The sequence below is a fragment of the Homo sapiens genome, chromosome 12 (assembly GCF_000001405.40).
Source record: "Homo sapiens chromosome 12, GRCh38.p14 Primary Assembly".
Taxonomy (NCBI): Eukaryota; Metazoa; Chordata; class Mammalia; order Primates; family Hominidae; genus Homo; species Homo sapiens.
The window spans coordinates 119170295-119198050 of record NC_000012.12 but is presented as its reverse complement, the minus strand read 5'-3'; the positions used below and the strand labels follow the sequence as shown (position 1 = coordinate 119198050).

At 47.4% G+C, this 27756-nt stretch overlaps 1 protein-coding gene, 2 long non-coding RNA genes and 1 pseudogene across 5 annotated transcripts, besides 2 other annotated features; 2 read left to right on the top strand and 2 right to left on the bottom strand.

The window, feature by feature from the left end:
* On the bottom strand, positions 2460 to 3211 carry PDAP1P1 (PDAP1 pseudogene 1; annotated as a pseudogene).
* On the bottom strand, positions 3305 to 19120 carry HSPB8 (heat shock protein family B (small) member 8). Its single transcript, NM_014365.3, has 3 exons — positions 18372 to 19120; positions 10963 to 11026; positions 3305 to 4352 (listed from the first exon to the last, which is right to left on the bottom strand). Exons 1-3 carry the CDS (start codon positions 18736 to 18738, stop codon positions 4193 to 4195), a joined length of 591 nt encoding a protein of 196 aa, NP_055180.1. The 5' UTR covers positions 18739 to 19120; the 3' UTR covers positions 3305 to 4192.
* HSPB8-AS1 (HSPB8 antisense RNA 1) lies at positions 13956 to 16884 on the top strand. 3 transcript variants are annotated; one of them, XR_007063482.1, is made up of 3 exons: positions 13956 to 14124; positions 15030 to 15177; positions 15849 to 16884. It is a non-coding gene; the product is annotated as an HSPB8 antisense RNA 1 (long non-coding RNA). The 3 variants fall into 3 exon arrangements; XR_001749345.2 differs by lacking the exon at positions 13956 to 14124 and having other exon boundaries at positions 14768 to 15177; positions 15872 to 16884; XR_001749344.2 differs by lacking the exon at positions 13956 to 14124 and having other exon boundaries at positions 14768 to 15177.
* Positions 18768 to 19517: an enhancer, noted in NCBI's record as "H3K27ac-H3K4me1 hESC enhancer chr12:119616339-119617088 (GRCh37/hg19 assembly coordinates)". NCBI's record gives its function as "activates a minimal SCP1, AML or CMV promoter by ChIP-STARR-seq in primed H9 embryonic stem cells {active_cell/tissue: H9 hESC(primed)}" and the evidence as "EXISTENCE:reporter gene assay evidence [ECO:0000049][PMID:30033119]".
* Positions 20697 to 21896: an enhancer, noted in NCBI's record as "CDK7 strongly-dependent group 2 enhancer chr12:119613960-119615159 (GRCh37/hg19 assembly coordinates)". NCBI's record gives its function as "activates an origin of replication core promoter dependent on BRD2, BRD4, P300/CBP, MED14 and CDK7 cofactors, with strong dependence on CDK7, by STARR-seq in HCT116 cells {active_cell/tissue: HCT116}" and the evidence as "EXISTENCE:reporter gene assay evidence [ECO:0000049][PMID:35650434]".
* On the top strand, positions 21567 to 23986 carry LOC105370024 (uncharacterized). The gene is made up of 2 exons (NR_134996.1): positions 21567 to 21644; positions 23488 to 23986. It is a non-coding gene; the product is annotated as an uncharacterized LOC105370024 (long non-coding RNA).

The following is a 27756-nucleotide window of genomic DNA, read 5'->3' as shown; positions in this document are numbered from 1 at the left end:
TCACTTGAACCTGGGAGGTGGAGGGTGCAGTGAGCTAAGATTGTGCCGCTGCCCTCCAGCCTGGGTGACAGAGTGAGACTCCCTCTCAAAAAAAAAAAAAAAAAAGAGAGAGAGAAAAGAAAAGAAAATTGGACCTACCTCGTATGATTGTAGTGCAATTAAATGTATTAAATATACATAAAGCACCCAGCATGGTGTCTGCACAAATCAAAGATTCAGTGAGGGCCACTCTTTATTTGCCTGTCTCTGCTACTGAACTGACAGCGCTTTGCAGGCTGGGATTGCAACTCATGGTTTGCTATGCCCTTGGCTCCTAGTACAGGACCCAGCAGAGTGGGTGTTCAGTCACTTATTTTGCTGTCTTTTGGGGGTTTTGGAGGTGTCCTTGAGAAGCAGCCCAGTAGCTCCTTATTGACCTTCCAAAATAAAACATATAAGTTCAAGTTTTGCTGTCATCACGTGACTTACCCAGGCCACTTCTCTCTTGGCCTCAAGTGTTTTCATTGCAAAAATAACAGCATCTACTTCCTAGAATGTTGTGGGATTAAATGGGATTGACTGCAGGGATGGAGCGTGTGACCCAGGCCTGGCCAATCAAAGCACTGATTTCTTGACCTACACTTGGCTCAGGGATGATCATATGATCAGGCTGGTCCACTAAGAATGACTCTGGAATAAGTAGCAGGGCACTGTGGCTCACGCCTGTAATCCCAGCACTTTGGGAGGCTGAGGCAGGTGGATCACTTGAGGTCAGGAGTTCCAGACCAGCCTAGCCAACATGGTGAAACCCTGTCTCTACTAAAAATGCAAAAATTAGCTGGGCGTGGTATTGGGTGCTTGTAGTCCCAGCTACTTGGGAGGCTGAGGCAGGAGAATCAATCGCTTAAATCTGGACGGCAGAGCTTTCAGTGAACTAGAGATAGCTCCACTGCACTCCAGCCTGCGTGACAAAATGTAAGACTCTGTCTAAAAAAAAAAAAGTAAAAAAAGAATCACTATCCAAAATGGCAGACGCTGTGGGAGAAGACTGGCTTTTCTCCCTCAGGACTGGAATGTGGATTGTGGAGCTGTAGTGACTGCAGCTACCTTGTGGCCCCGATGAGAGGACATGGGGCATGGAGGGCTGAGAGCGTGGGAAGCGGGGGCAACAGGGAGAGTGGCAATGAAGCCACTACTGCAGGGCCACGTCAGATGGAGGGAAACAATTCTGTTGATAGCATTAGTGCCCCGAATCCAGCTCTCCTAGCAAGCAGCTCTTATCCCAGACTTCTCAGCTATGTGCACCAATAAAAACCCCTTTTGGTTTAAATTAGTTTGAGTTGGGTCTCCTGGCACTTACCACAGCAGCCCTTCTCCCTCCCACCCTACAGTCAGGGATCTGTGTTCCTGGCAGCATCCAAACCCGTGGCAGCCACAGCACTGTTAACTGCCCTCAGAGCTGCTAGGCCTCTTTCCTCCTTCCTAGCAGAACCTTGTTTTGTTCAGGTAGCAATGTTGCAGGCCTCAGAAGATGTTGATCCAAGCCTGTCATGACCATCCTTTTCCCTTTTGGCAGAAATTGGTCTCAGGGTAGGCATGTGACCCACTTTTGGCCAATGAGATAGAAAAAGAAGTCTGCTGGGAGCTTCTGGACGATATCCTGCTCACTGATAAAAGAAGCTAGGTGATAATACCTTTTTATGACTTCCTTCTATTCCCCATACATTGTCATATGAGGATGAGATGCCTGGAGCTGCTGCAGCCATCTTGTAACCATGAGGATAGACTGTGACTATGTACACTTGTCAGAGATGGCAGAGAAAAAAATGGAAATATCCTGGGCTCTTGGTGGCATAACAGCTGAAAAAAAAACTGTGTATCTACTTACCTCTAAACTTTTTGTGAAGTTAGAAAACAGCTATTTATATCATTTAAGCCACTGTTCATCAGGCAACATTACTTTATTTTTTATATTTTTTATTTTTATTTTTTTACGATAATGTCAAGTTTAATCTGCCAAATATACAAGTTGAACTTGTGGAACATGTTTTGCCTGGGTGCCACACAGTAAACAGAGGTTTCTTGAAATGATCAATGGGTAGGGTTAAAAATGGGCACTGGCCTTAGCCAGGTGGGTAGGAACTGGGCAGGGAGGGGCAGAGAGGCGAGGCCTCGATCAGACAGGACTGACCAGGGACAAGCCATAACCCTCGAGGACCCAGGGGCACAGGCTCCCAGATGACAGCCCCTCTCTGAATGAGCACCTAGGCAACACAGTCCGGGGCTGGGTGTAGCAAACCTGTCAGCAGCTGCCTCCTGGGACAACCACCCCCTTACATGCTATCTACCAGAAAAATGAAAGCTCTTCTTACCCCATCTCCCAGGCACCCCCCAGCAAGGGCTCTGAATTCTAAAAACAGCAAAAACATTCAAATGGTTACATGTGAAATGCTGTCCCTCATCTTTCTGTCTCAAAGATAGCAACTGCCCCTCCCCCAGCTCCCCCCACATCCCCCAAACAATTTCTGTGCCAAAATGAAGAGGAGGCCCCAGGCCATGGGGGGCTCCTGGCCACGAGGGGCTGTTGCGGCGGCGCCAGGGCACAGGGTGGGCGAGACACAGCAGAGGTCCTGGCAGCGCGGCCCAGGTCCCCGGCATCTCCTCCCATGGGTCGCGGTTACTTATACAGGGAGAGCGACTGCATTCGTTTTCCTGACAATGTGGCATCATCTTTTGCTTTCCTTTCCTCTTCCTTCTTCCGGGCAGCCTCCTCCCGCTGTTTCCGGATGATGGCCAGCGGGCCAGGTCAGCCTTGGCTTGCTCTGTCTTCCCGGCCAAGTGCATTTTCATGTAACGCTCTTTTGCCTTCTGCTTCTCAATCTCTTCTCGTTCTCTCCTCGAAAGCTCCTTTGGCCCATCCAGATACAGTTGTGTGACCTTTTTGGTTGTCTGTGCCACCTGGTTGGGGTTCTCGATGTTGAAGAGCCCTTCAACGCCTTTGCGGTTTTGCTGGTAGTCATCTTCTTCATCCTCACTCTCATCTGAGTCTAGAGATTTCTTCTCCTTTTTGGGGTCACCTGCAGCCCCATCTCCACCTTCTTTTTGCTCCTCTTCTTCCCTGGCCTTCTGCTTCTCAGCCTGCAGCTGTACGTCGATCTCCTCAGGGCTCCTATACTGCCTCGCCCAGCCTTTGTGGCCTCCCTTTCTCCCTCCTTTAGGCATCGCGGCTCCGCGCAACATTACTTTAAGCCACAGCATTGCTAACTGATGTTGTATATCTAGGTGGTATTACATTTAGTTCCTCATTAAAAGAACCACACAAGGCTAAGAACGTCAGCTCCTTTATTATTATTATTATTATTATTAATTATTTACTGTTATTTACCCCTAAACAACAGCATAACTCAAATAATAATGACACACACGTCCCGCCCATATACACAATACCACTAGCCTATCTGTCAGGCTATCTGGCCTTTGCTTGGTTCCTGATGGAGCTGTCTGGAGACAGCTCCCTCTGTAAAAATCCCGACTTAAACACAGGGGACAGAAGAAAGGGGGGACCTAGGTCAGATCATAAACTGACAGGCTCCCAGCGTCCTTAGGGAGTGCTAATGTGGAAACTTTGAGAACGTGCTGGACACATCTGGGCAGAGGGCAGAAGGCACTGTTTGTTTTTATGTGGTTGATGGATAAATTCCATATGGGGATATAAGACCTGTATATCACCCATTTTAGGCCAGGCATGTGGAAGCACAGTGGGGTTAGCTACTGGGTTTCATTAACCAAACCATGCGGCATGGTTTGGGAGCCATGGGAATCGGGAGCCCAGAGTAGGAACCTGGGTGATGGGGGAGGTCCCCAGAGAAAAGTAACCCTTGCATTCACTGCAAGTAAGATACAACGTGAAATGTTAAGTCCCCTTTTATGTGTTTTGCAACTATAGAATGTGCAACATTTTCATCAAGATAGAAAAGGTAAAGAAAGCAAAACTAGTATTTTGGCCTAACACAACCAAGCATGATTTGCCAATTGCGCTATCCTGTGGAGAAATCTACCACTACACTATCCAGGGAATCTGTGGTCAGTCCTCACCCCCGCACCCTCTAACATTTTACTTGCACTAAATCTGAGTTCAGCTAAAGTAATGTATCCTGGAATCAGAGAAGCCCTAGGGTTGGGGACAAAACAAGGATGGGCCAGTACTGGCATCTCAGGTACAGGTGACTTCCTGGCTGTCCTGGGGAAGCTCGTTGTTGAAACTGCTCTCTCCAAATGTTGAGTAAGGAGGGACCTGGGGAGCTTCGATGATCAGCAGACCCTCTGGGGAAAGTGAGGCAAATACTGTCACAGGATCCACCTCTGCAGGAAGCCTAGGAGAAACACACGATTTTATTCATTTATTGTTGTTAATATTGCTTAAACATTCTTTTATTCACTTGAGAGGAAATATTTTTGATAAGAGCTTAGGCTTTGGGGACATACAATGTTGGGTTTGAATCCTGGCTCTACCCCTTTCTAGCTGTGTGGTCTTGGGAAGATTATTCAGTTGCTCTGAGCTTGTTTTCTCATCTGCAAAATGAGGATAATAATACTGAACTTGTAGAGTATTTGAACTTCAGAGTCTGAGTATGCTTTGCAAATGGTAAAATGCTGTTTGAACAGTAGTTCTTAACTTAAAAGAGAGCTGTGGCCCACATATTTGGTCCCAGGTTGAAGTCATCACCTTAATACCCACTACTGACCACAATTACTAGCAGAAATGGCACCACTACCATCCCTTTATAGAGCGCAAGTAAGGTGTTATCATAACAGGCAACACATTTTCATCTGACATGTGCTTGCTGGAGAGTGCTTCACTACAAAATGCATTAATGGTGATGCAAGCACTAGGTACCTTGGTGGATAAAAGGGGCCAAGCTGGCCACATGTAGATTTCAGATGGCAACATACTCGATGGTATTCAAAATAAGCCTTGATTTTGTTCATACCCTAAGTATCTCTGATGTGGTTTGGCTGTGTCCACCTAAATCTCATATTGAATTGTAGCTCCCATAATTCCCATACGTTGTGGGAGAGGCCTGATGGGAGATAATTGAATCATGGGTAGGGGGCAGTTTCCTCCATACTGTTCTCATGGTAGGGAATAAGTCTCACGAGATCTGACGGTTTTATAAGATTTTTTGCTTGGTTCTCATTTTCTCTCTTGTCTGCTGCCATGTAAGACGTGCCTTTCACCTTTTGCCATGATTGTGAGGCCTCCCCAGCCATGTGGAACTGTGAGTCCATTAAAACTCTTTTTTTCATATATATATCAATTATGTAGTCTCAGGTATGTCTTTATCAGCAGTGTGAAAACAGACTAATACAATCACTTAGCAGATCATTATTATCTTGTTCTTCCTTTTATTTTTTTGGGACAGAGTCTCACTCTGTCACCTAGGCTGGAGTTCAGTGGCGCGATCTTGGTTCACTGCAAGTTCCGCCTCCCAAGGTTCAAGCAATTCTCCTGCCTCAGCCTCCTGAGTAGTGTGGATTACAGACACCCACCACCATGCCTGGCTAATTTTTGTATTTTTAGTAGAGATGGGGTTTCACCATGTTGGCCAGGCTGGTCTCGAACTCCTGACCTTGTGATCCACCCACCTCAGCCTCCCAAAGTGCTGAGATAACAGGCGTGAGCCACCGAGCCCAGCCAATTATCTTGTTCTTAAAACTCAGTTATAGACAATACTTGGTTGGAGTATTGTAAGAGGATGATTAAGAGGTAAGAATTAATATGCCCATTCTACAGATCACTAAACAGAGACTTGGGGGAAATCAAATGACAAGCTCAACAAGTGAGAAAGCATCGAAGATGGAATTTCTAAACCTAAATCTGGTCCAACTTCTAATAAGGTATTTTTATGATTTTTGGATTGCTTTGGGTGAATGAGACTATTGAGAATTTGGTTTCTTCAACAAACTATTAAAACTGTGAGGACATATTAGTGATCTCATTGGGGTGCCATTATTTTTTTTAACCATGAAATCCATGACCTTCTGAGTACTTTCTATGTGCCAGGTACTTTAGCTGAATCATATCATTTTGGTGTTAACAATAATCCCACCAGGCAGATTCCATTGCTATCCCCATCTTACAGATGAGGAAATTGAGACTCAGAGAAGTGAACTGCTTTGCCCAAGGTTGCTCAGCTGGCAAATGGCAGATAGGAAATGGAATTGGAATCCTGGTCTCCAAACTCAGAGTATCTGACCATGATGCTCTCCTGCCTCCCCCAGCACCAGACATTTGAAAGAAGGACTATGGCAGGAAGGACCGGCAGTTCAATCAAAATCTTTCCACTGATCCCTGCTGGCTCTGCCTATTGTAAATACGAGGGTCTTGATGAAAGAACCAAGGCATGAGGTAAGCCCATTCCTGATCATAGGCAGGACTCCTTCTGGAGGGGCTGGGGAGTTTTTTTTTTTTCTTTCTTTCTTTCTTTTTTTGTGGGTACAACAACCTGTAGCCACATGAGCCGTATCTACCCAGGAGATTCCTTGCCAGATTGGAACCATGGAGATGAACAAGGCTGCTTCTGGGAAGCCCATTTGGAAGAAAAAGAGGGAACTAGAAAGCTGCCAAGTCAAGCTTTTGAAGCGGAGACAAAGTCAAAAGTTTAGACCTCCCTCCCAATGCTGGGGATGGGCTGACTGTTTAACCATGTGCACACCAACCCAGTGCACACCAGGTACAGTGTGACAGGGTGGCTATGGCCTAGAGCATGGGTTTTGCAGGCAGGCTGACGTGCATTCAAATTCTGACTCTTCCTGACCACACAACATGGGGCTGGTGATCTTGACTCTTTGAACCTGTTTCTTTGCAGAAAAAAAGGGGGCAATAATAGTACCCACCTCTTAGGGTGGAGTGAGAATTACGTTGCAGTCTTTGACCTTACATGTTGGCATCTTGACAGCAAGATGGAGTATCATACAAATTGCAGGATCATTGAACCACAGAGTATCAGGGCCCCAAAGGATCTTCCTGATTGTCCATGACAATGCTCTTATATTACTTATGGGGAAACTGAAACTCAGAGAGATAGACAAGTCCAAGGTCTCTAACCAAGTGACTTGTATTTAAACCCATTTGGTGGGAAAGTAATTCCTCTTCAGTTCTCTTTCAGTGCTTCTACTTACATCTGAAGGAATGTCTCTGCTAAGTACTAACATGCCTTTAACGCCTTTAGCCTCTATCACTTGCTACCTTCCCTTTTTAACAATGAGAGAGCTGAGGCCCTTAGGCAGGCAATATTATCTAGTTAGAATTTAACCACAGTTTGCTTTCATTGGATTTATTTCATGATCGCTTTCCTCAGTGAACATTTCAGTGATAAGAATTTAACTTTATCAAAAATGAGATGATCTAAAAGAAAAAAAAACCTTTAGTAAATCATGGTACAGCAATGTAAGCATATAAGGCAAAAAATAGTGAAGATGGGATGTGAATGACGGTATTGCAAATGACTGTAATTTGGTTTCCCCTAACCAAATAGGAAGATCATGGACTTTGAAAGCTGAGACCCAAGACCTCTCCCTCTCCTCCTTATTCAGTCCAAATGGGGCTTTTCACACAGAGATGGATGTGTTGAGATGAATTTCCTTGCCATGGTTAAGGCAAACAGCTGCAGCATCCTGCCTGGGTGGAAATCTCCAAGGATCTCAGCCTGGCTGAAGGAATCTCCCTGTCCTCTAATGACTGGAGTTTTCCCTGGGAGAGGAGGCAACGAGGACTCCTGAGATTGGTCCAGAGGTGTCCCAGACCCCAGTTCGACTCCTAGGTGTCTAGAGTCTGGGCAGAGCCAGGAGCTCCCAGGAGTCCCAGCTGCTGGAGTGTGAGTCCAGCCTTGTGAAGCCTTTTCATAATATTAATTCCCATGGACCAAGCCCTGAGTCTGTATTCCATGCTTAATGCGTTATACACATCCTCTCACTCCCATCACAACCCCTCCATGCAGGGATGTGGGAATGGAAGGTCAGAGCAGTTAAGCAAGTTGCCCCAAGTTACCCACTCACTTTCTCATGGAGCCAGGACTCCCTGCACCCGGAGCTGAGATTCAAAATATTTAACAACTAGTGCAGCTGGGCACTGACCATTCAGAAGGGATGGGTGCATGTCATAGTGATGGAGGAGGGTCCTGGGACCCTTTAGTTGTTGGAAGGTGGAGAGGTTTAGAGGGTCCTGGGGACAAGATCAGAGTGACTGGGGTTGGCTAGGGAGGGCTCAGGGCAATAGCTAGCCAATATTCAGGGGTCCCCATCCCCCGGATCATGGACCGGCACCCATCTGTGGCCTGTTAGGAACCAGGCTTCACATCAGGAGGTGAGCAGCAGTTCAGCCAGCATTACTGCCTGAGCTCCGCCTCCTGTCAGATCAGCAGTGGCATTAGATTCTCATAGGAGCTTGAACCCTGTTGTGAACTGTGCATGCGAGGGATCTAGGTTGCATGCTTCTTATGAGAATCTAATGCCCGATGATCTGAGGTGGAACAGTTTCATTCCCCAGTCCATGGAAAAATTGCCTTCTACGAAACTGGTCCCTGGTGCCAAAAAGGTTGGGGACCACTGAATATTTTAACAACTAGCCCAGCTCAGCAGCTGAGCACCAGCCTGGAGCAATTTCAGGCATTTCTCATCAGGTTACTTCCAGCAAGCTATCTCCCCTAAGGCCTTGGAGCATGTGAAATACACACACACACACACACACACACACACACACACACACACCCCTTTTAAGATGATTAATTCACTTCTTTCTTACACAGTCCCTTTTACAGCTATGCCCTGCTTGTGACTCCACCCTGAGACCTCATTTGAGCCTTGACATCAGCTTCCCCCCACCCCCTGCCTTCCTTCCTCTCCCTCAGCAATGTTTAATCTGCTTGCTAAACCAGGGAGAGGTGTGGGGCACGGAGATGCCAGGCAAGCCAGCAAACACGAAGAACAAATGGTTTGGCGTTTGCCTTATCAGGAAGTGTCCACAGGCTTCCAAGAACTGCAGAGGCTGTGGGAGGGCCAGGGACGGACATGTGGGGGAAGAGACAGGAATGTAGAATCCCAAGCTGGAAGAAGCCTCAGAATTCAGCTAGTGTGATCTCTCCACACACAGAATTTCTTTGCAAAGGCTGATGGAAAAGTTAAGAGTCAACAATAACAATAGTAATAATGAACTCCCACTTATGAGGACCTACGCTGGGCCATGACCTTATGTCACTTTCAGCCAGGAACTCTGCAAGGCTGGAATCAGCATCCCTTTCACAGATGAGGAAACAGCATTCCTTGCCCAAGGACTGAGCATGGAACTCAGAGGTCAGGGATCTATTCTGGGCCCTTCTAAATTCTAGCTGTAAAGACCTTGGGTATGTCCTTTCACCTGTGGGAGACTTAGTTTCCCTGTATTGCAAGGAGGGTCATGTCTCCTCTCCGATGCACACTTTTGCTGCAAAGGCTAAATGCAACGATGGCTTGGAAAAGAGTTTAGGGGCCAGGCGCAGTGGCTCACACCTGTAATCCCAGCACTTTGGGAGGCAGAGGCGGGCAGATCACTTGAAGTCAGGAGATCAAGACCAGGCTGGCCAAACATGGTGAAACCCCGTCTCTACTAAAAATACAAAAATTAGCCAGGCATGGTGGCATGCACCTGTAATCCCAGCTACTTGGGAGATTGAGGCCGGAGAATTGCTTGAACCCAGGAGGCAGAGGTTGCAGTGAGCTGACATCGTGCCACTGCACTCCAGCCTGGGCAACAGAGTGAGACTCCATCTCAAAAAAAAAAAAAAAAAGAGAGAGAGAGAGAGAGAGAGTTTAGGGGCCAGAAACGCACATAGTGGAGTGACGCTGATTGCTGATTAGGGAGAAGGTATGTATGAAGCACCTGGCAGTTGTTTAAGTGCAGCCATCGTGACCACACTGTGCAACTCTGCTCCCTATAGGTACTGCCAGCTAGGGGCTCGTGGTGGCTTTGGTTCATGGCCTCAGCCTGATTGTCCTTGGCTGCTCTCACGGTTCCCCCAGGCTCCCTTTCCCTGTTAAACATGAATCCCTTCTACTCCCCTCAGCAAAATAGCTCTTCCTGTGTCCCAGTGTCTCAGCCTCCAAACCTCTCTGGGTAGTATGCAGTGTTCTCAGGACACTTTCCAACTTCATTTTTGTGGATGCCCTAGAGAAGGTGCTCATTTTCCTGGCAGGGCAGAGGCTGAGCAAGCAGCCTGGAAGATATTCTGCTGGGGCATTTGGGGAATCAGGGGATGGTCTTTCTGGATGGTGACAGGGGTCCTCCCTCAGCTATGCCCCATGGGTAGGGGCTGTGTGATTGTGGACAAGTCATTGTCTTGCTTACCCTCAGATGCTTAGTCTATAAAAGGGAGTTGTTCCCCGGGTGCAGTGGCTCAAGCCTCTAATCCCAGCACTTTGAGAGGCTGAGGTGGGTGGATCGCTTGAGCCCAGGAGTTCAAGACCAGTGTGGGCAACATGGCGAAACCCCATCTCTACTAAACAAATACAAAAAATTAGCCGGACATGGTGGCACATGCCTGTAATCCCAACTACTCAGGAGGCTGAGGCACACGGACCGCTTGAACCCAGGAGGTGGAGGTTGCAGTGAGCTGGGATCACACCGCTGCACTCCAGACTGGGTGACAGAGTGAGACTCGGTCTCAAGATAAATAAATAAATAATAAATAAATAAAATGGGGTTTTTAATACCCACCTCACAGGGCACCGAGCAGATGAGATGATGCAATCTATGTGCTCCCCCTTCTGGGACCCTATTACAGGTCTGCTGGGATATTTTCTCCTCGTTAGGTGTGAGGGTTCAATTCCCTGCCCCAAGGAGGTGTCTTAAAAGAGAGATGCCCAAGAGGGAGAGACCCCAGATCATGGGTCCCAGGTGTGCCCCCTCCTCCACTCCCACCCTGAGCTCCATGACTCCAGGTTACTTACTGGATTTTCTTTGTGAAGTTCTTAGAAACAATGCCACCTTCTTGCTGTTTCTCTTCATGTTTGCCTGGAAGGAAGAAAAGTGTGGCGTGTCAGCATCTATGTTCCTTGGGCATCCTTCAGGACTGAGGCTTGGGTTCAAATCCTGGCCCTGGACCTGCCTTGCTGTGTGACTTAGGCCTACCCTAGAGACTCTAGTTATCTAAGCCTCAAGGACCTTGTCTGCCATACAGACCCACCTAAGTCCACTTCCAAGGCTGGCTATGAAGGTGAAATAAGATAATTGATGGAAAGGAGGCGTAGACCGTGGTTTGTAGTTAATTAAGGGTTAGTCTGAGGAAATCGCAGAAACTTCTGTGTTGTACCAAATCTTCCATGTGTTGTACCAAATCTTCCAAGTCTCCCACCTGACTCCTCTTCTCTAACCTGCCAGTAGAACCCTGGGTCTGACATCCCAGACTGGATGGCAGGCTTGAAGCGGGGTCACATGCTGAGGGCGACTCTGCCATGTAGCTTGCTTTATAGCTAACAGAGTGCTTTCCTAACTCTGAGCCCAGACGTCGTTCTCCCTTTGTTTCCAACATGGAAACTGAGGCTTGGTGATGGATCCAGGGTCGCCCAGCAGGTCCCTGGTGGCTCTGAGCTTTGAATCAGCTCTCTCTGAGTCTAGGCCAAGTTCTAGGTCCTGATGCCTCTCTGCTCTTGAATTTCTGTCTGTTCCAGCTCCCGATTAGCTCTTTAAGCCACATTATCTGTACCCAGTAGTGAAAGCACAGCCTGGAAAAAGAATGCTTCAATCTGCCAAAAACACCCAGCTTTTCCTAAGGGCACTGTGGATGTGAAATTCCACCAGACCTCTCGCCTCTTAACCTGTGGTAAGAGAGGGCTTCCCAACCCCCTCAGGGAGGAAAAAGATGAAATTACAAGAAGACTTGGGCCTAAACTGGTTTTGATCTTGTAATGTATATAGCACATTCTAATTCTCTCGGTCTCTCCTCATTCTTTTTTTCTTTAATAGAGAGAGTGTCTGTAGTTTCTCTTTAAACAAACAAGATTAGTACAACAGTGGGGCCATTCGGCTGTTACTTTTCACTCCTCATTTGTGGGGCCACCTTCTGGAGGCAAGAACCCTCATTTACACAGGGAGGTGCTTCTGAGGGGCCTTGAAATCTAGAATGTAAACAACTTTGTTGAATATAGCAGTCCAGATTTTTTTAAACTGACAACTTATAGCTAATTACTTTTAATTATTTCTTTGTTAATAGCTTTTTTTGTGCTTTAAGATAGTGCATGTGTATGTTAGAAAATGCAGAAAATAGGCCGGGCATAGTGGCTCACTCTTATAATGTCTGCACTTTGGGAGACTGAGACAGGAGGATGACTCGAGGCCAGGAGTTTGAGACCAGCCTGGACAACATAGAGAGGCACTGTTTCTAAAAATAATAATAATAATAATAATAGGCAGGGCGTGGTGACTTATGCCTGTAATCCCAGCACTTTGGGAGGCCGAGGCAGGTGGATCACGAGGTCAAGAGATCGAGACCTTCCTGGCCAACACGGTGAAACTCCGTCTCTACTAAAAATACAAAAATTAGCTGGACATGGTGGCACGTGCCTATAGTCCCAGCTACTTGGGAGGCTGAGGCAGGAGAATTGCTTGAACCCGGGAGGCAGAGGTTGCAGTGAGGCGAGATCGCGCCACTGCGCTCCAGCCCAGCAAAAGGGTGAGACTCTGTCTCAAAATAATAATAATAATTACTATTATTATTATTATCCAGGTGTGATGGTGTGTGCCTGTAGTCCTAGCTATTTGGGAGGCTGAGGTGGGAAGATTGCTTGAGCCCAGGAGTTTGAGGTTACAGTAAGCTATAATGCACCACTGCACTCCAGCCTGGGCAACAGAGTGAGATCTGGTCTCTAAATTTAAAAAAAACAACAATAACAAAAGAAAAAATTAAAAAAAAAAGCCATCAAAACTACTTATAATCCTGTCACCCCACGGAAGCTATTAATAATATCTTTTATATGTTCCGACTTTTCTATGTTTCTCAGAAATGTGTAAATGTTACATAGTATCCATGTATATCAGTATTCTATCAAATGGGATAGTTCTCTGCATTATGTTTGGAACTTATTTTTCTCTCTTGCTAACACATTATAATTACTTTTCCATATTACCAAATATTCTTTGACAACATAATTTTTAATGGCTGCAGTGTTCTATTGAGGAATACATAAGAGCTAATTTAACCAATCCCCTACTTTGGGGTGCTGAAGAGTTTCCAACGTTGGCGAGAACTTCGTGGCCCTGAACATTCTTGTAGCTAGAACCTCACACCAGGCCGCCCTATGACTTCTTTAGGATTAACTGAGGACTAATGCAACTTCCAGAATTTCTAAGGCTTAATCTATGTTCCTAAATTGCTCTCAGCAAAAGAAATTCATTTTAAACTGGAGTGTCTGGCTAACCAGAACATGCTATCCTGTGAATGTGTGGCCGCTTAAAGAGTCTACCTTGTGCTGCCAACTCCATGACCACCAACTGCCTGGCTCTAGCACAGGCCTGTGCCCAGAAGAGCACTGTCTGTTCTTTGGTACCCTCCCCACAGCCAGGGCGCCGGGAGACCTGCTTCCCCTGGGGACAGGCCAGTGCCTCTGACTCAGCCCTTTTGCATCCTAGAATCCTCCTGCATGCTGGTGTCCTGGGAATAAAAACTGATAATATAAATAATAATAGCAAGTAATATAGCGCTTCCTTGGTGTCAGCCACTGTTCTAAGCACCTTATCTGTATCAACTCCTTTAATTTTTGCAACAACCTTAAATAATAATAGTAAAATAATAATATAAGCAGGCATTTTCATTATTGTCATTTTGTAGATAGGAAACCCGAAGTTCAGAGAGGTTAAGTGCTGTATCCAAGGTCACACAGCTTGGAAGTGACTGGTGCAAAGATTCAAAAGCAGGCAGACAGGTTCTGGAATATTGGGTGTTGGACTTAAGTCTCTACTCTGACATTTCCTGGCACATCTCTAAGTTTCTCTGAGCCTCAGTTTATTCTTCTCTGAAATGGGAATGACGACACCTATCTTACCGGGTTACCGTAGGAAGCAAATGAAAGCGAGTCACAGAATGGCTTTGGAAGTTGTAAAAGTACCATGTGAAGGTAAACACTTGTGGTTTATTTTGATGTTTGGGGAAAAGACTGCTCCTCAGAAACTAGGTGCCTCTGTCTGCTCTGAAAATAGGGTATTGGGGTGAGGGAAGGGAGGATCTCTGAGCAGGGAAAGCTCCAAGATTTCCAAAAGAGGGGCCTGGAGGTGGGGTTAACCTCATTTAAAGAGAGTGTTGCTAGGAGGATCATCTTGAAACTCAATTTGCTTATCATTTGCCTACTTAGATTGGGGCAGCTTAAGGATTATGAGTGATTTTTAATTTCTTATTTTGCTTTCCTAACTACATATTTTATCATGAAGACATTTTATTTTTGTAAACTGAAAAAAGTAATTATTATGATTTTTAGAAATACATCCAGAGGCTAGGAGAAGTCAGAAACCCCTTGCAGACATGCTTTTTTCAACATGCCTCAGAGAAATGTAGGTGGAACACTATTGGCCCAGCTAAAGAAAGAAAGTGCTGTTTCCAGGGAAGGCAGAGTCCCTGGGACTAAGGAGAAGGGGTGGAAATAAGGCCTTGGGGCTTTCCAGTCTCTATCTTAGCCAGGGTCTGGCCCAGTGGCCCATGAAGGGAACATTTCTTGGCTGGTGGTTGCAGGATGGGGGTAGGGGAATCTGAGGCTTGCTGGAAATTGTCTAGTCCAGCATTTTCCAAACACTTCCTTGAATGAGACACTCATACGTGGTCAGATAAGATAGGGCTGCCTCTTAGAGATTCATAAACTACATTAGTGACTTAAAGGCTCTGATAAGTCCTGCAGTGAGAAGACCTGTTTATAATTTTGTTTTTACTGGCACCATACAAGACCTTGAACTCTCCTGCTCCTGTTTCTAGATGCCTAGTAACAGCTTGAAGTACATTGGTAAATTCTGATCTTGTCTACCTCTTCATAAGACCAACAGTAAAACTGAGGCTCCAGAGGCTGTGGGATTTGCTCAGGGCCACACCGCCAGAAGTAGATCCAGCCATCCTGACTCAGAACCAGCCAGAGAGGCCTGACATTGAATGTCAGACACTGCCAGGGAGAAGTGGGTAATCTCAGGTGAGTTACTTTCTCTGGGCCTCGGCTTCCTTATCTGTATAATGGGGTTAACAAACCTACCCACACTTCCTAGGAGGTCCTTGTGAGGAACCACTGAGCCACCACATGTAGGCCTTTAGCACGTGCTTGTGGAGGAACGGATTTGTCATTTTGTGGTATAGGGTGGGAAACTGGATCTGACTTCCAACTTCCCTTGAAAATTGCTTTTTATTTATTTTTATTTTTTATTTTTTTTGAGACAGAATTTCTTTCTTGTTGCCCAGGCTGGAATGCAGTGGCACGGTCTCAGCTCACTGCAACCTCCACCTCCCAGGTTCAAGCGATTCTCCTGCCTCAGACTCCTGAGTAGCTGGGATTACAGGCGCTCACCACCACACCCGGCTAATTTTTGTATTTTTAGTAGAACGGGGTTTCGCCATGTTGACCAGACTGGTCTCAGACTCCTGACCTTAAGCGATCCTCCCGCCTTGGCCTCCCAAAATGCTGGGATTACAGGCATGAGCCACCGCACCCGGCCCGAAAGTTGCTTCTTAAATAGAGCTCCTGATATCAATTTTATTTTTAAACCCCTTTTATGAAAGCCCTTGTATGGACTCTCAGGGAATTTGGATTTTGTCTAGCCGATGTCACTAATTGCATGTCTGAAAAGCTTTGTCTTTGTCTTATTTAAGCTCCCAATGACCCCATTTTACAGACGTGGAAATTGAGACTGCATGACTCACCCAAAGCCTCTGGATTAGTAAGATACTTAGCTGAGATCTCAACATGGAGCTGCCAGACCCCACCTGTTATGAAGCACCTACAAAAGAGGATGGTGAAAAACCCTCCAGGCTGGACAGAGGGTCTCCTAGAGGGACCACAGGGTGGAGTCGACCCTTGGACTTGGGCTAGAAGCATCTAAGACCCTAATTAAAACAAGGACAGAAGGAATGGTGATAATCGGTCTGTTTACAGAGTGCCAGGCAAGCACTATTATTAGCTCCATTTTATAGACACTCCGCATATATTATCATAGATAGTCTGCATATGTTTAATCTTTCCTACACCCTTACAGGACAGATATTATTATGGTCTCCATTCTGCAAATAGGAGAAATGAGGCTCAGAGGGATGAAGACTTTCTCGTCCACATCCGCCATGCTAGTGAACAGCAGTGCTGGGATCTGAACCCAGGTTTCAAAGAGCATCTATTATTCATTATTTATTGGGGCCTTCCTGGATGCCTGACACTATAACAATAACGACGACAATAATAATACTAATTCCTTGTGTTCCAGGTCATAGAATGTGAAAGGAAAATAAATCTTGGGGCCCCCAAATCACTAAGCTAAAGGGAAAAGTCAAGCTGGGAACTGTTTAGGGCCAACCTACCCCCCATTCTATTCAAAGGCAGCCCTCTGCTCACTGACATAGATGCATTATCTGTTTGTCTCCTTTGGAAAGGCTAATCAGAAACTCAAAAGAATGCGACCATTTGTCTCTCACCTACCTGTGACCTGGAAAACCCCTCCCTGCTTCAAGTTGTCCTGCATTTCTAGATCGAACCAATGTACTTCTTACATATATTGATTGATGTCTCATGTCTCTCTAAAATGTATAAAATTAAGCTGTGCCCAGACCACCTTGGGCATGTGACAGGAGGACTTCCTGAGGCTGTGTCATGGGAGTGTCCTCAACCTCGGCAAAATAAACTTCCTAAATGAACTGAGATCTGTCTCAGATTTTCTGGGTTCACAGGTATGTACACATTTTACAGCATCACCTCACTTAAAACAACAATCCTTATGGTATAACCATTTGAACCCTAATTTCCAGATGAGGAAACAAAACAGAAGCACAAAGTGAAGTAATTTGCACATCCTGCTGGTTAAAGTTGGAGCCAGTTTCGGAACTCATGCCCTGCTCCCCAGCCAACTCAGAAATCTGGCTGACCCTGTCATCAGCACGTGGCCCCAGCGTGTCTCCCAGCCCACCACACCCGCTGGAGCCTCTGATGTTTATAATTCTACCAGGACTGGCTTGAAACTCCCCCTGAATGCTGCTGGGGCTTGTTCCTGCCCAGCCTGTGTTTGCAATGGCTTTGACTGATTTTCTGGAAGGCAAGCCTCTGCCGGGAACACATTCTTTTTAATGGAGTGTTAATCAGGAGGGAAGGAAAAGAAAGATTTTTCTACTGCCCAGCTTCACAGGGGCTGAGCTTCCTGTCTTCTCTCATTTTTCCCCCTAGTATGTTTATTTCTCCCAGGGTGGGATGCGGCAGTGAGAGCCCTGGGCCTAAAGCTGTGCATAGGCCCAGTCCCTACTCCACTCCTATTGCTGACTCATGGCATGACTGTGAACGAGTCCCACCTAGGCCTCAGCCTCCTCAGCTGCAAGATGGGCCTACCCTGCTACCCTGGAGTGGACTGAGGATGATTTTGGAGAAGTATAAGAATGTCAGCCCACCCTTGGCACCTAGTAGGTGCTCAGTAAATCATCACTTCTTCTTTCTGGCCTCCTAATTCCCAGACAACCTGGGTCTGACTCCTTGGTGGCCTTGAACAAGTTACTTTAATCTCTCCGTGCCTCAGTTTCCTCATCTGAAAAAAGAAGATAAACAGTACCCACCTCCTCTGGTTGTGGTATTAGCTGAGATATTATAGGCAACAGCAGTTAGCAAAGTGCTGAGCGAATAGTTAGCACTCAGAGTTACCAGTTAGTGTTACTACAATTACTGGTAAGCCTCAGTTTCCCTGTCTGGGACAAGGAGAGGTGTTTCACCGGAAACCAGTTGCGGTTATTAACACTATCATTGTTCAGCCTTAACGTGCACTTCTAGACTCTGTTATGATGCTGGAGTGCACAAAATCCCGTTTCTTCTTTGTTTTTTAATTCTTTGATATCTGCTTAACCTATTCTTTATATTAAATGCCCTCTGTCAAAATATCCAACATGGTTTCTATTTTCCTGTCTGTACCATGATTGATGAGCACCCAGAGGCCCCAATAGCTGAGTCAGGCAGGTTAAGATCTCTGCTGGGAGCCGGGAGAGAAGTTTTCCGTAAAGATAACTTTGCAGGCTGCATTCCTGAGCCCTGAGGTCACCTGTGTCACACTGTCCCAACGTCAGCTCCCAGGAAACTTTCTCTGGCTATTCCCAGGGCTGAGGGCTACATCCCGGCCTCCCCATTCTCTCTCCCTCCTGCCCCTGACTTACCAGACACCTCCACGTATCCATCTTTGGTCTTCACCATCAACTCCTCTGGCTTGAAGCTGTGCACATTCACACACACTTTCCAGGGCTCCCCAGGGAAGGGTGGGGGGGTCCTGCCCTCGGCAGGCACCCCAAACCTGGCGGTGGCAGTGGGGCCCCGGGGCACCATGCCCGACCTTAGGGTGCCTGGCCAGGCGGAGGAGAGACGAGGCAGAGCCCAGTCGGGCCAAGAGGCTGTCAAGTCGTCTGGGAAGGGGTCCATGCCAAAGCCATCATCCAGCAGGCGAGAGGAGAGGGGAGAGTCCCGGAAGGGGTCTCGGCGCAGGCGGCTTGGGTAGTGGCAGGAGAAGGGCATCTGACCGTCAGCCATGGTGGCTGCTCAGCTCAGAGAGAAACAGAGGCTCAGAGAGACAGAACCACCTGCCCAAGGTCACACAACAAGGTGGTGTGGCTGGGCTAGCTTATTCTTCAGCTTCCGAAAATGCTGCTTTTCTGCAGGGAGAAGCAGAACCAACCACTGCCAGGGACGGTTGTGTCCCCTCGACTGGGGTCCCAGCCCCCAAAGGTAACCCCCGGGGCAGATCCAGCAGAATCCCAGAGGGTCCCCGTCCGCACTGCCTCACGACAGACCGGCAAGCCACCGTCCTCCCAGGCTTCCCAGGCTGCCCAGGCTGGCAGCCAGAACCGCTGAGGTCTAGAGCGGAGCCAGGAGCTTAATAAACCCAGGGCACGCGCGCCTAGAAACTTCTTCTGGCTCCTTCTGGGCTGCAAGCCTTCTATTTATTTGCTGCTGGAGGCTGGAGGCGGGTTTTGCAAGCGTCTCCTGTCACAGGAATATTCGGAGGTGATGAACCAGCCCCGGAGAATCCGCGGAGGGAACAGCTGGGCTGTGGGGGGAGCTGGGAGGGGCCGCGTCCAAGTTCAGCCGGCCTCTCCGGACACTCTCTCCTCCCCTGGCCACTCCGCTCAGCTCCGCCCTCCTCTTGCTCCAGGAGCTGGAGCCGCCCTCCCCGAGCGGGGCACTAAGGCCTGGCTATTAATAACCCCGAGCCTGGCTGAGGGCTCAGGTCACCCTCTGGAAATACCTTCCCTAGAGCGTGTCGTATCCTGCCTTTCCCCTGGGGACCTGCAGAAAGGGAAGAGAGAGACAGGAGCCCAGTGGATTTGAAGGATGGCCCTGGGTTGCAATCCCCACTTACAAGATGGCCAAGCTCCTAGAGCCTCAATGCCCTCTGGGGAGATTGGTAAAGGAAAAAAAAAATTTTTTTAATGTGTATATATATATTCATATGACGCTTGTTAAAGTATGACAAGCAAGACTTTACTGGGCAGGGAAACTTTCTCCATAGATGTAGGGACCCCTGCAATGGGATTTTGCAGTGAGGGAGAAAGATTAGACTTGATTCCCAGTAGGTCATGGGTAAGTGTGAATTTGTAGCCAAGAAGCAGGTGGGGGGTCAGCGAATGGAAATTTACTAGGAGGGAAGTCCAGGAGTCAGAGGGATTCGGGCTCAGCTAACCTAAGAGGATTCTTGCTGAAGACAGGCCAGGGTGCTCAGACATCACCTGGGGGACCGCGGAGGATGAGGAAACTAATCAGATATCGAGGGTGATCAGAAATCGAAGATGGGTGGTTGCTACTAAACAGACTTAGCAGAGTTCATGCCAAAACTGAATTTTTCTTTCTTTCTTTTCTTTTTTTTTTTTGAGACAGAGTCTCACTCTGTCCCCCAGGCTAGAGCGCAGTTGCGCCATCTCCGCTCACTGCAACCTCCGCCTTCCAGGTTCAAGCGATTCTTCTGCCTCAGACTCCCGAGTAGCTGGGATTATAGGCACCCGCCATCGTGCCCGGCTAATTTTTGTATTTTTTAGTAGAGTTGGATTTCACCATCTTGGCCAGGCTGGTCTTGAACTCCTGACCTCATGATCCACCTGCCTCCACCTCCCAAAGTGCTGGGATTACAGACGTGAGCCACCTCGCCTGGCCCAAAACTGAATTTTTATAAGGAACCTCACTGATGGGCTTAGGAGAAGATTCAGAAATCCGATTAATGTTTGGTCAATCAAAGCATCTTTATAGGCAGTAACATTATTCCCAGGCACCTCCAGGTTGTTAGTTTTCCTCCTTATAAACGGACATAACAGTAGCCAACTCACAGATGTACCATGAAGAATACATGAGGTAATTCTCTTTCTCCTTGTATTTTCAATTTTGAGTTATCAATTACATAATGTTTGCTATATGCCAGGCCCTGCTCTATGGGCTTTATAAATATGAATTCATTTAACCCTCACCAGCAATCCTGTGAGGTAAGAGTACCAGTATTATCCCATTTTACAGATGAGAAAACTACCATAGAAGTGTTCATGAATAGTAGCTTCTATTATTATTATGACTGTTAATACTGATAATTATTGAAAGATGTTACACTCAGGCAGGAGGTCTGGTCTGAAACTCAAAGCCCCAAATCTAGACTTTCCTGCTCTTCCCATGCAGCTGGAAGAATGAATTTACAAATCCTCCTTTGGCTTGGAGGCCTCTTCGGCTTGGGTTCTAATCTTTGATCTGTCCGCAACAGGCAGAAAATTTTAGGCATGTCGTTTTCCCTGTGTGGGCTTTCGGGTCTCAGCCCTGCCTTCTTCACGAGATGAGGGTAAACTGAGGATATTAAGGAATTCAGTGAGTCATAGGTTGAGAAATTGTTTTGATATTAAACAGTGAGTGCATGAGGCAGTTTGCTAAAAATAATAATACGGAGAAAAACAATCACTGTCGCCCATTGCCTCCTGTGCGTCTGCTTTTAGAGTTAGTACATTTCAGACATTACTGAGTTAAATCCTGACTCGATAGTTAAACGTCACTATTATCATCACCCCCATTTTGCAGGTGAAAAAACAGAGGCACAGAGGTTTGACCCTTGCACACAGATATGGAGTGGCAGAGCCTGGGTGGGAACCTGGGTTGTTCTGAATCCCGGATCTGTGCTTAACCGACAGACAGAGACCCCTGCCCTCCTCCCCAGCTGAGAAAGAATGGTGGGGACCCCACGGCATGACATGTCCCGAGTGACTGGGCCCCCACTGGATGTAGGGTGAGCTCATCAGGCTGGAAGCTTCGGGCTGACGTCATGGCTGGGCACAGAAGCTTCAGCTCTCTCTGTAATTACAGCTGGGCGGGGCTGGCTGAGTTGGAAACCAGTTGTGGGGAGAATCACTGCAAGCCGCATGACGCACCGGAGAAACCTGGCCCTGCCTGGGACCTGGGCAGGGGCTGGGGTGAGGTTTCTGAGTGGGTGGGACAGAGTGGAATGAGTTTGTGTGCGGATTTGAGTGGGTGCAGGAGTGAGTCTGTGTTTATGCGCCGATAGGTCTGTGTTTGTTTATCGCCGAGTCTGCTGGTGGGTATGTTCAGGAAGAAACTCCCCTCCTTTTCCCTTCCCAGGCCATCCCCAAACCTCCAGAGGACCCCTCTGCCTCAAATGAGGCTCAGTTGGGACCAGGGGACCTGGAAGGAGGGGAAGCCTGGCGAAGGAGCAGGGAACCGAGCTGTGATGACCTAATCCACCTTCTCATTTCAAGGATGAGGGGGACGAAAGGGAGGATGCAAAGGTAGAAAATAGAAATAACAATCACTGGCATTTACGGGGCACTTGCCCCGTGCCAGCTTCTGTTCTGAGCACTTTAAATGTATGTTCCTAAACTCTTTTACTTCTCCCCACAATCCTATTAGGAAGGATGTTTTTAATTTATTTATTTATTTTGAGATGGAGTTTCACTCTTGTTGCCCAGGCTGGAGTGCAACGGCATAATCTTGGCTCACTGCAACCTCTGCTTCCCGGGTTCAAGTGATTCTCATGCCTCAGCCTCCAGAGCAGCTGGGATTGCAGGCACCTGCCACCACCCCTGGCTAATTTTTGTATTTTTAGTAGAGACAGGTTTTCACCATGTTTGTCAGGCTGGTCTCGAACTCCTGACCTCAGGAGATCCACCCACCTCGTCCTCCCAAAGTGCTGGGATTACAGGCATGAGCCACCATGCCCGTCAGGAAGGATGTTTTATTAAACTCATTTTAGAGATGAGGAAACTGAGGCACAGAGAGATTACCTGACATGCCTATGTCAGTGGCAGAGCTGGGATTTGAACCCCGGGCAGTTTGGTTCTTGTCTCATCTGCTACACTGCCTCTGAAGTCAAAGTCATGGCTCACATTTATTGAACACTAACCATGTACCCGGCCCTGTGGTCAACAGTTTTATCCATGACCTCATGGAATCCTTGTGGTTCAGAGAGGTCAAGCCACCTGCCCTGGACCACACAGCTGACCAAGGATTGGAATCCAAGCCAGGGCGCACTTGGCAGTGCACGGTAATAACCACTATGGGACAATATTGGCCCAGCCTTGCCCAGCGAGCCTTCCACACTGCCTGGTGTCCTGTTCCCCCTTGGGCTCTCATTGCATTTCTGGATCTGGTCAGCCCTTCATTTCAGGAAGCTGAGGAGGGAGGCAGCTGCTCCTGCTAACTCGGCCACCTGGTGAGGAGTTAGCTAACACATGAGGAAAGTGGTCACTAAACCCCATGGGCTGTCACCAATCAGGTGAAAATATGACGCCAGGCTCAGGGGAGGCCCGGGAGAAGAAGGGGCCTCCAAGCTGGTTCCGCCAGGGAAGAAGAGACCTTAGAGGGGACTGTGGTACAGGGGAAGGATGTTAGATCCTGGGAACCAGAGCCACGTTTCTCTTGGCTGCCATCCTCATAGAGCTTTCGTACGGGGCGTACCACCATTAATTCTCAAAACAGCCCAGGAGGTAGGTGAGATCACCCTGCATGCCTGAAACTGGGGACCAGCTGGTGGGGACAGAGTAGTCTGAAGCCACACAGGTAGTGCTGGGACCAAGTAGGACAAAGACATAGCTGCCAGATTCTGTGCCTTTTCTTTTCAATGTAGTAAGAAACAAAAGTTCCCACCCTCCCCTAGGGGATTCCCAGCCCCCAGCCCCTCCCCAGGGTCTGAAGACCCATCTCAGAGTTAGTTCTTTTGGGTGGCTCTGGATCCCAGCACATCCTCCAGAAAATAGGAAGTAAGCATGCTCATGCCTTTTTATTTCTTTTGTTTCTCAGACCCCCCCTACAATGACACTAATGGAATTCCCAGCATACTCGGCTCCATGAAAGCAGGACCCTTGGGAGTCCTGTTCACAGTAGCATCCCCAGCGCCTAGAGGGAGCCTGCTGCACTGTAGAAGCCCAGCATATCTTGGATGAGTAGATGATGTCGTATCAGCAACCCTGGGTCTGAATTGCCAACTCCCACTGGGTAGACTCTACATGCAGTAACAACATCAACATATTAACTAATTTCTGCAGTCCATAGAAGGTGCCGGGCACCAAGGTTTCCCAAGCGTGCTCTTTTTAATTTTCATCACAGCCCCCTAGAGGTTTTATACTATCATTATTCCCTTTTTACAGATGAGGAAACTGAGGCAAAAGACATGAGGTGACCTGCCTGAGGCCACCAGCTTATGGATTCTGAACCCAGGTCTGTCTGAACTTTAAGCCCAGGCCTCTTTTCTCTGCCACACACCCCAGCAAGAATGAATAAATAAACAAAATAAAACAAACAGCCTGCACTGGGTCCCTCCCTAAATGAGCCTATGCCCTCACAATCCTGGGAAAGTAACACTTACTTATTGGAGCTCTGGCTTTCTTCTATTATTTTCTCCAAAATTCTTTCCAGGAATTGCCTTCCCTGACCACCTCTGCAAATAATAATGATAGCAGTAGTAATAATAATAATAAGTGCATATTTAACATTTAGTACCAATTGTAAGTGCTTTGCATATATCAAATTATTTAATTCTCACCTGAATTGCTCTAAGGTAGGTATTATTATCCCCATTCACAGATGACAACATCAAGGCACAGAATGGTTAAATAACTTGCCCAAGGTCACACAGTTACTAAGTGGCAAGTAGCTGTGTCTAGGCAATCCGGCTCCAGGGTCTGTTCTTAACCACTATGTGATTCTGTTGTTGTGAATAACAACAACAAAATGACAGTAATGATACCCATCATTATTTGAGAACTATCACATCCCAAGCTCTGCTAAATGCCCTATATGTTGTGCCTCTTTTAATCGTCATAACAATCCTTGGAGGTAGAAGTCCTATTGTTAACCACATTTTACGGTTGAACAACCTAAGGCCCAGGGTCAGATCCGGGATTACTGGCTGCAAAGCCTGTACCTTCAGCAGCCCAGGGAGCCTGTGCCACCTGACCCCTGGTGTATGCCCAGCCAGAGCACTGGCCTTCCAAACCCAGATCTACCGGCAGAACACAGCTGAACTTCAGGTCACTGGACCACCTCTTCCCCCACCTTCTTGCTGGGCTTCTCTCTCTGAAACCTTCTTCAGCCCTTCCAAACTTTCTCAGCAGAACAAATGACACCAGGAACACGCTGACATTTGGGAGAGTGACGACTGCCTGGAAGGAGCTATCACACATCGAGCAGAGGATCCTTACATGTTATTAATGTGAAAGCCACTTGGAGCTAGGGCAGGGGTGGGGGCCCCGCAAGCTCAATGGGAGCTCCTCTCTGCTGCAGGTGCCGCCAACAGAAGGGAGTCAGGGCTCAGCTATGGGACGGAGAGGATCATCCTGCCCTCTCTCCACCCATCCTCAAGGAGGGACATCCCCAGCCGGGCTCTCAGGGGCTCTATTTCTTATACCTGAGCCTAAATCAAGGCCTCTGGGATCTTTCATGGTCCAAATACTTATTCCAGGTTCAGGGAACCAATATCTCAACTAACCAGAATTTTCAGGAAGTGACCGGGCTGCTATTTCCCACTTAAGAAAGACAGTAAAACATAGTGGGTAGGAACTCGACCAGATATGGATTTGAATCCCATTAGCTCTGCTGCTCTGGGCAAGGAACTTAGTCTCTCTGAACCTCTGTCTTGTCATCTGTAAAATGGAGATGATCTCAAGACCCATCTCCTTGAGTAATTGTCAGCATAGATTATCAGGGAAAATGGTCTGGGAGGTGAGCGTGCCCTTGATCACATTGGACCTTGCAGACTCTATTAAGAGGTTAGACTTTGTCCCGAGCACACTGAAGAACCATTGAACTGTTTGGAGGAGGAGAGTGCTGTGATGAGAACTGAGTTCCAGGAAAATCATCGTCTGCTTTTGGAGAAGATCTTTTGGGGGCTTTAGGGAGACCAGTTAGGAGGCTGTTGTAGTGGTCCCAGTGAAATGGCAACCTTGGCTGGGTTGTTGGCTGAGGAGCGGTAAAGCGTGGATAAAATCATGATCTATTAAAGAAGCAGGAGCATTTTGAGTGCTGATTGCGATGAGAGGGGGAGAGAAGTTTGGATCAAATGAATGTCTCGGTTTTCAGACCTTTCAACGGGGTGAATGGTGGTGCCACTCAGTGAACATGTGAGGAGGAGCAGATGCGGGGAGTGGGAGACACAGTCTGTTCATTTACTCACGGATTCATTCATTCCATAATTGTTACGTTCTCACTTGGAAAGCACTAGCCGAGGGGCTAGAGATGAAGCAGTAAATGAGGCAAAAGTCCCTGCTTTCATGTGTATCAATAAACGGATTGTAAAAGGAAAATAAATCTCGGGTCCCCCAAATCACTAAGCTAAAGGGAAAAGTCAAGCTGTGAACAGCTGAGGGCAAACCTGCCTTCCATTCTATTCGAAGTCACCCCTCTGCTCACTGACTGAGATATATACATATCTGATTGCCTTCTTTGGAGAGGCTAATCAGAAACTGGAAGGAATGCAACCATTTGTCTCTTATCTACCTATGACCTGGAAGCCCTTGCCCTGCTTTGAGTTGTCCCGCCTTGTCCTCTGGTTGTCCCACCTTTCCGGACTGAACAAATGTACATCTTACACATATTGATTGATGTCTCCTGTCTCCCTAAAATGTATAAAACCAAGCTGTGCCCCTACCACCTTGGGCACATGTCCGCCTGAAGCTGTATCACAGGCGTGTCCTCAACCTTGGTAAAATAAACTTTCTAAATTAACTGAGACATGTCTCAGATTTTTGGGGTTCACAAAATAAATAAACAATAGAAAGAATTTCAGATACCGTCAGTGGCATGTGAACCAGAGCAACTCCATGGTGAATGGGGGCTGGGTAAAATAAGGCTGAGACCTGCTGGTCTGCATTCCCAGTAAGTTAGGCATTCTGTCACAGGATGAGGTAGGAGGTTGGCACGAGGTACAGGTCACAAAGACCTTGGGTCACAAGGTCTTTGAGATGAGATAGGAGATCGGCACAAGATACAGGTCACAAAGTTCCAGGTTGCTGTAAAGAAGCCGGCTAAAACCCACCAGAATCAAGATGGCAATGAGAGTGACCTCTGGTCATCACAGCTCATTATTCGCTAAGTATAATGCATTAGCATGCTAAAAGACACTCCCACGAGCGCCATCACACTTTACAGATGCCATGTCAACGTAAGGAAGTTATATTTACACCTACATGGTCTATAAAGGGGAGGAAACCTCAGTTCCAGAAATTGCCCTTCCCCCCCACTTCCGGGAAAACTCATGAATAATCTGCCCCTTGTTTGGCATATAATTAAGAAATAACCATAAAAATGGGCAACCAGTGGCTCTCAGGGCTGCTCTGCCTATGGAGTAGCCATTCTTTTATTCCTTTACTTCCTTTTTTTTTTTTTTTTTCTGAGGCGGAGTCTCGCTCTGTCGCCCAGGCTGGAGTGCAGTGGCGCTATCTCGGCTCACTGCAAGTTCCGCCTCCCGGGTTCACGCCACTCTCCTGCCTCAGCCTCCCGAGTAGCTGGGACTACAGGCGCCTGCCACCACGCCCGGCTAATTTTTTGTATTTTTAGTAGAGACAGGGTTTCATCTTGTTAGCCAGGATGGTCTCGATCTCCTGACCTCGTGATCCGTCCGCCTCGGCCTCCCAAAGTGCTGGGATTACAGGCGTGAGCCACCATGCCTGGCCCCTTTACTTTCTTAATAAACTTGCTTTTGTTTCACTGTATGGACTCTCCTGGAATTCTTTCTTGTGTGAGATCCAAGAACCCTCTCTTGGGATCTGGATCAGGACCCATTTCTGGTGACAATACTACAAAATTTTATGAAGAAAAAAGGAAGGCTCCTGGTTACCCTTCTCATTGGATTTCCTGCTAATACCCACTCCCTGGTCACGGGCTTCAATCATAGGGTCCCCATTTCTGACCCTCAGATGGAAGAGTCAAGCATGTTCCTGCCTGAAGGTCTTCCTGCCTGCTGTTCCCACAGACTGGAACACTCTTCCCCCTCCATAAGGCAGGTCTCTTCATTCATTTGTGTCTCTACTTAAATTTCAACTGCTCGGAGAAATCTTCTCTAACGACTTAGTA

Bases quoted from the DNA above. Each gene is read 5' to 3' on its own strand.
- HSPB8 (NM_014365.3), bottom strand. From the start codon at position 18,738: ATGGCTGACGGTCAGATGCCCTTCTCCTGCCACTACCCAAGCCGCCTG. The intron at 11,027-18,371 runs GTAAGTCAGGGG...TCTTCCTTCCAG, and splicing joins TGGATACGTGGAGGTGTCTG to GCAAACATGAAGAGAAACAG. The intron at 4,353-10,962 runs GTAAGTAACCTG...TGTTTCTCCTAG, and splicing joins AACTTCACAAAGAAAATCCA to GCTTCCTGCAGAGGTGGATC.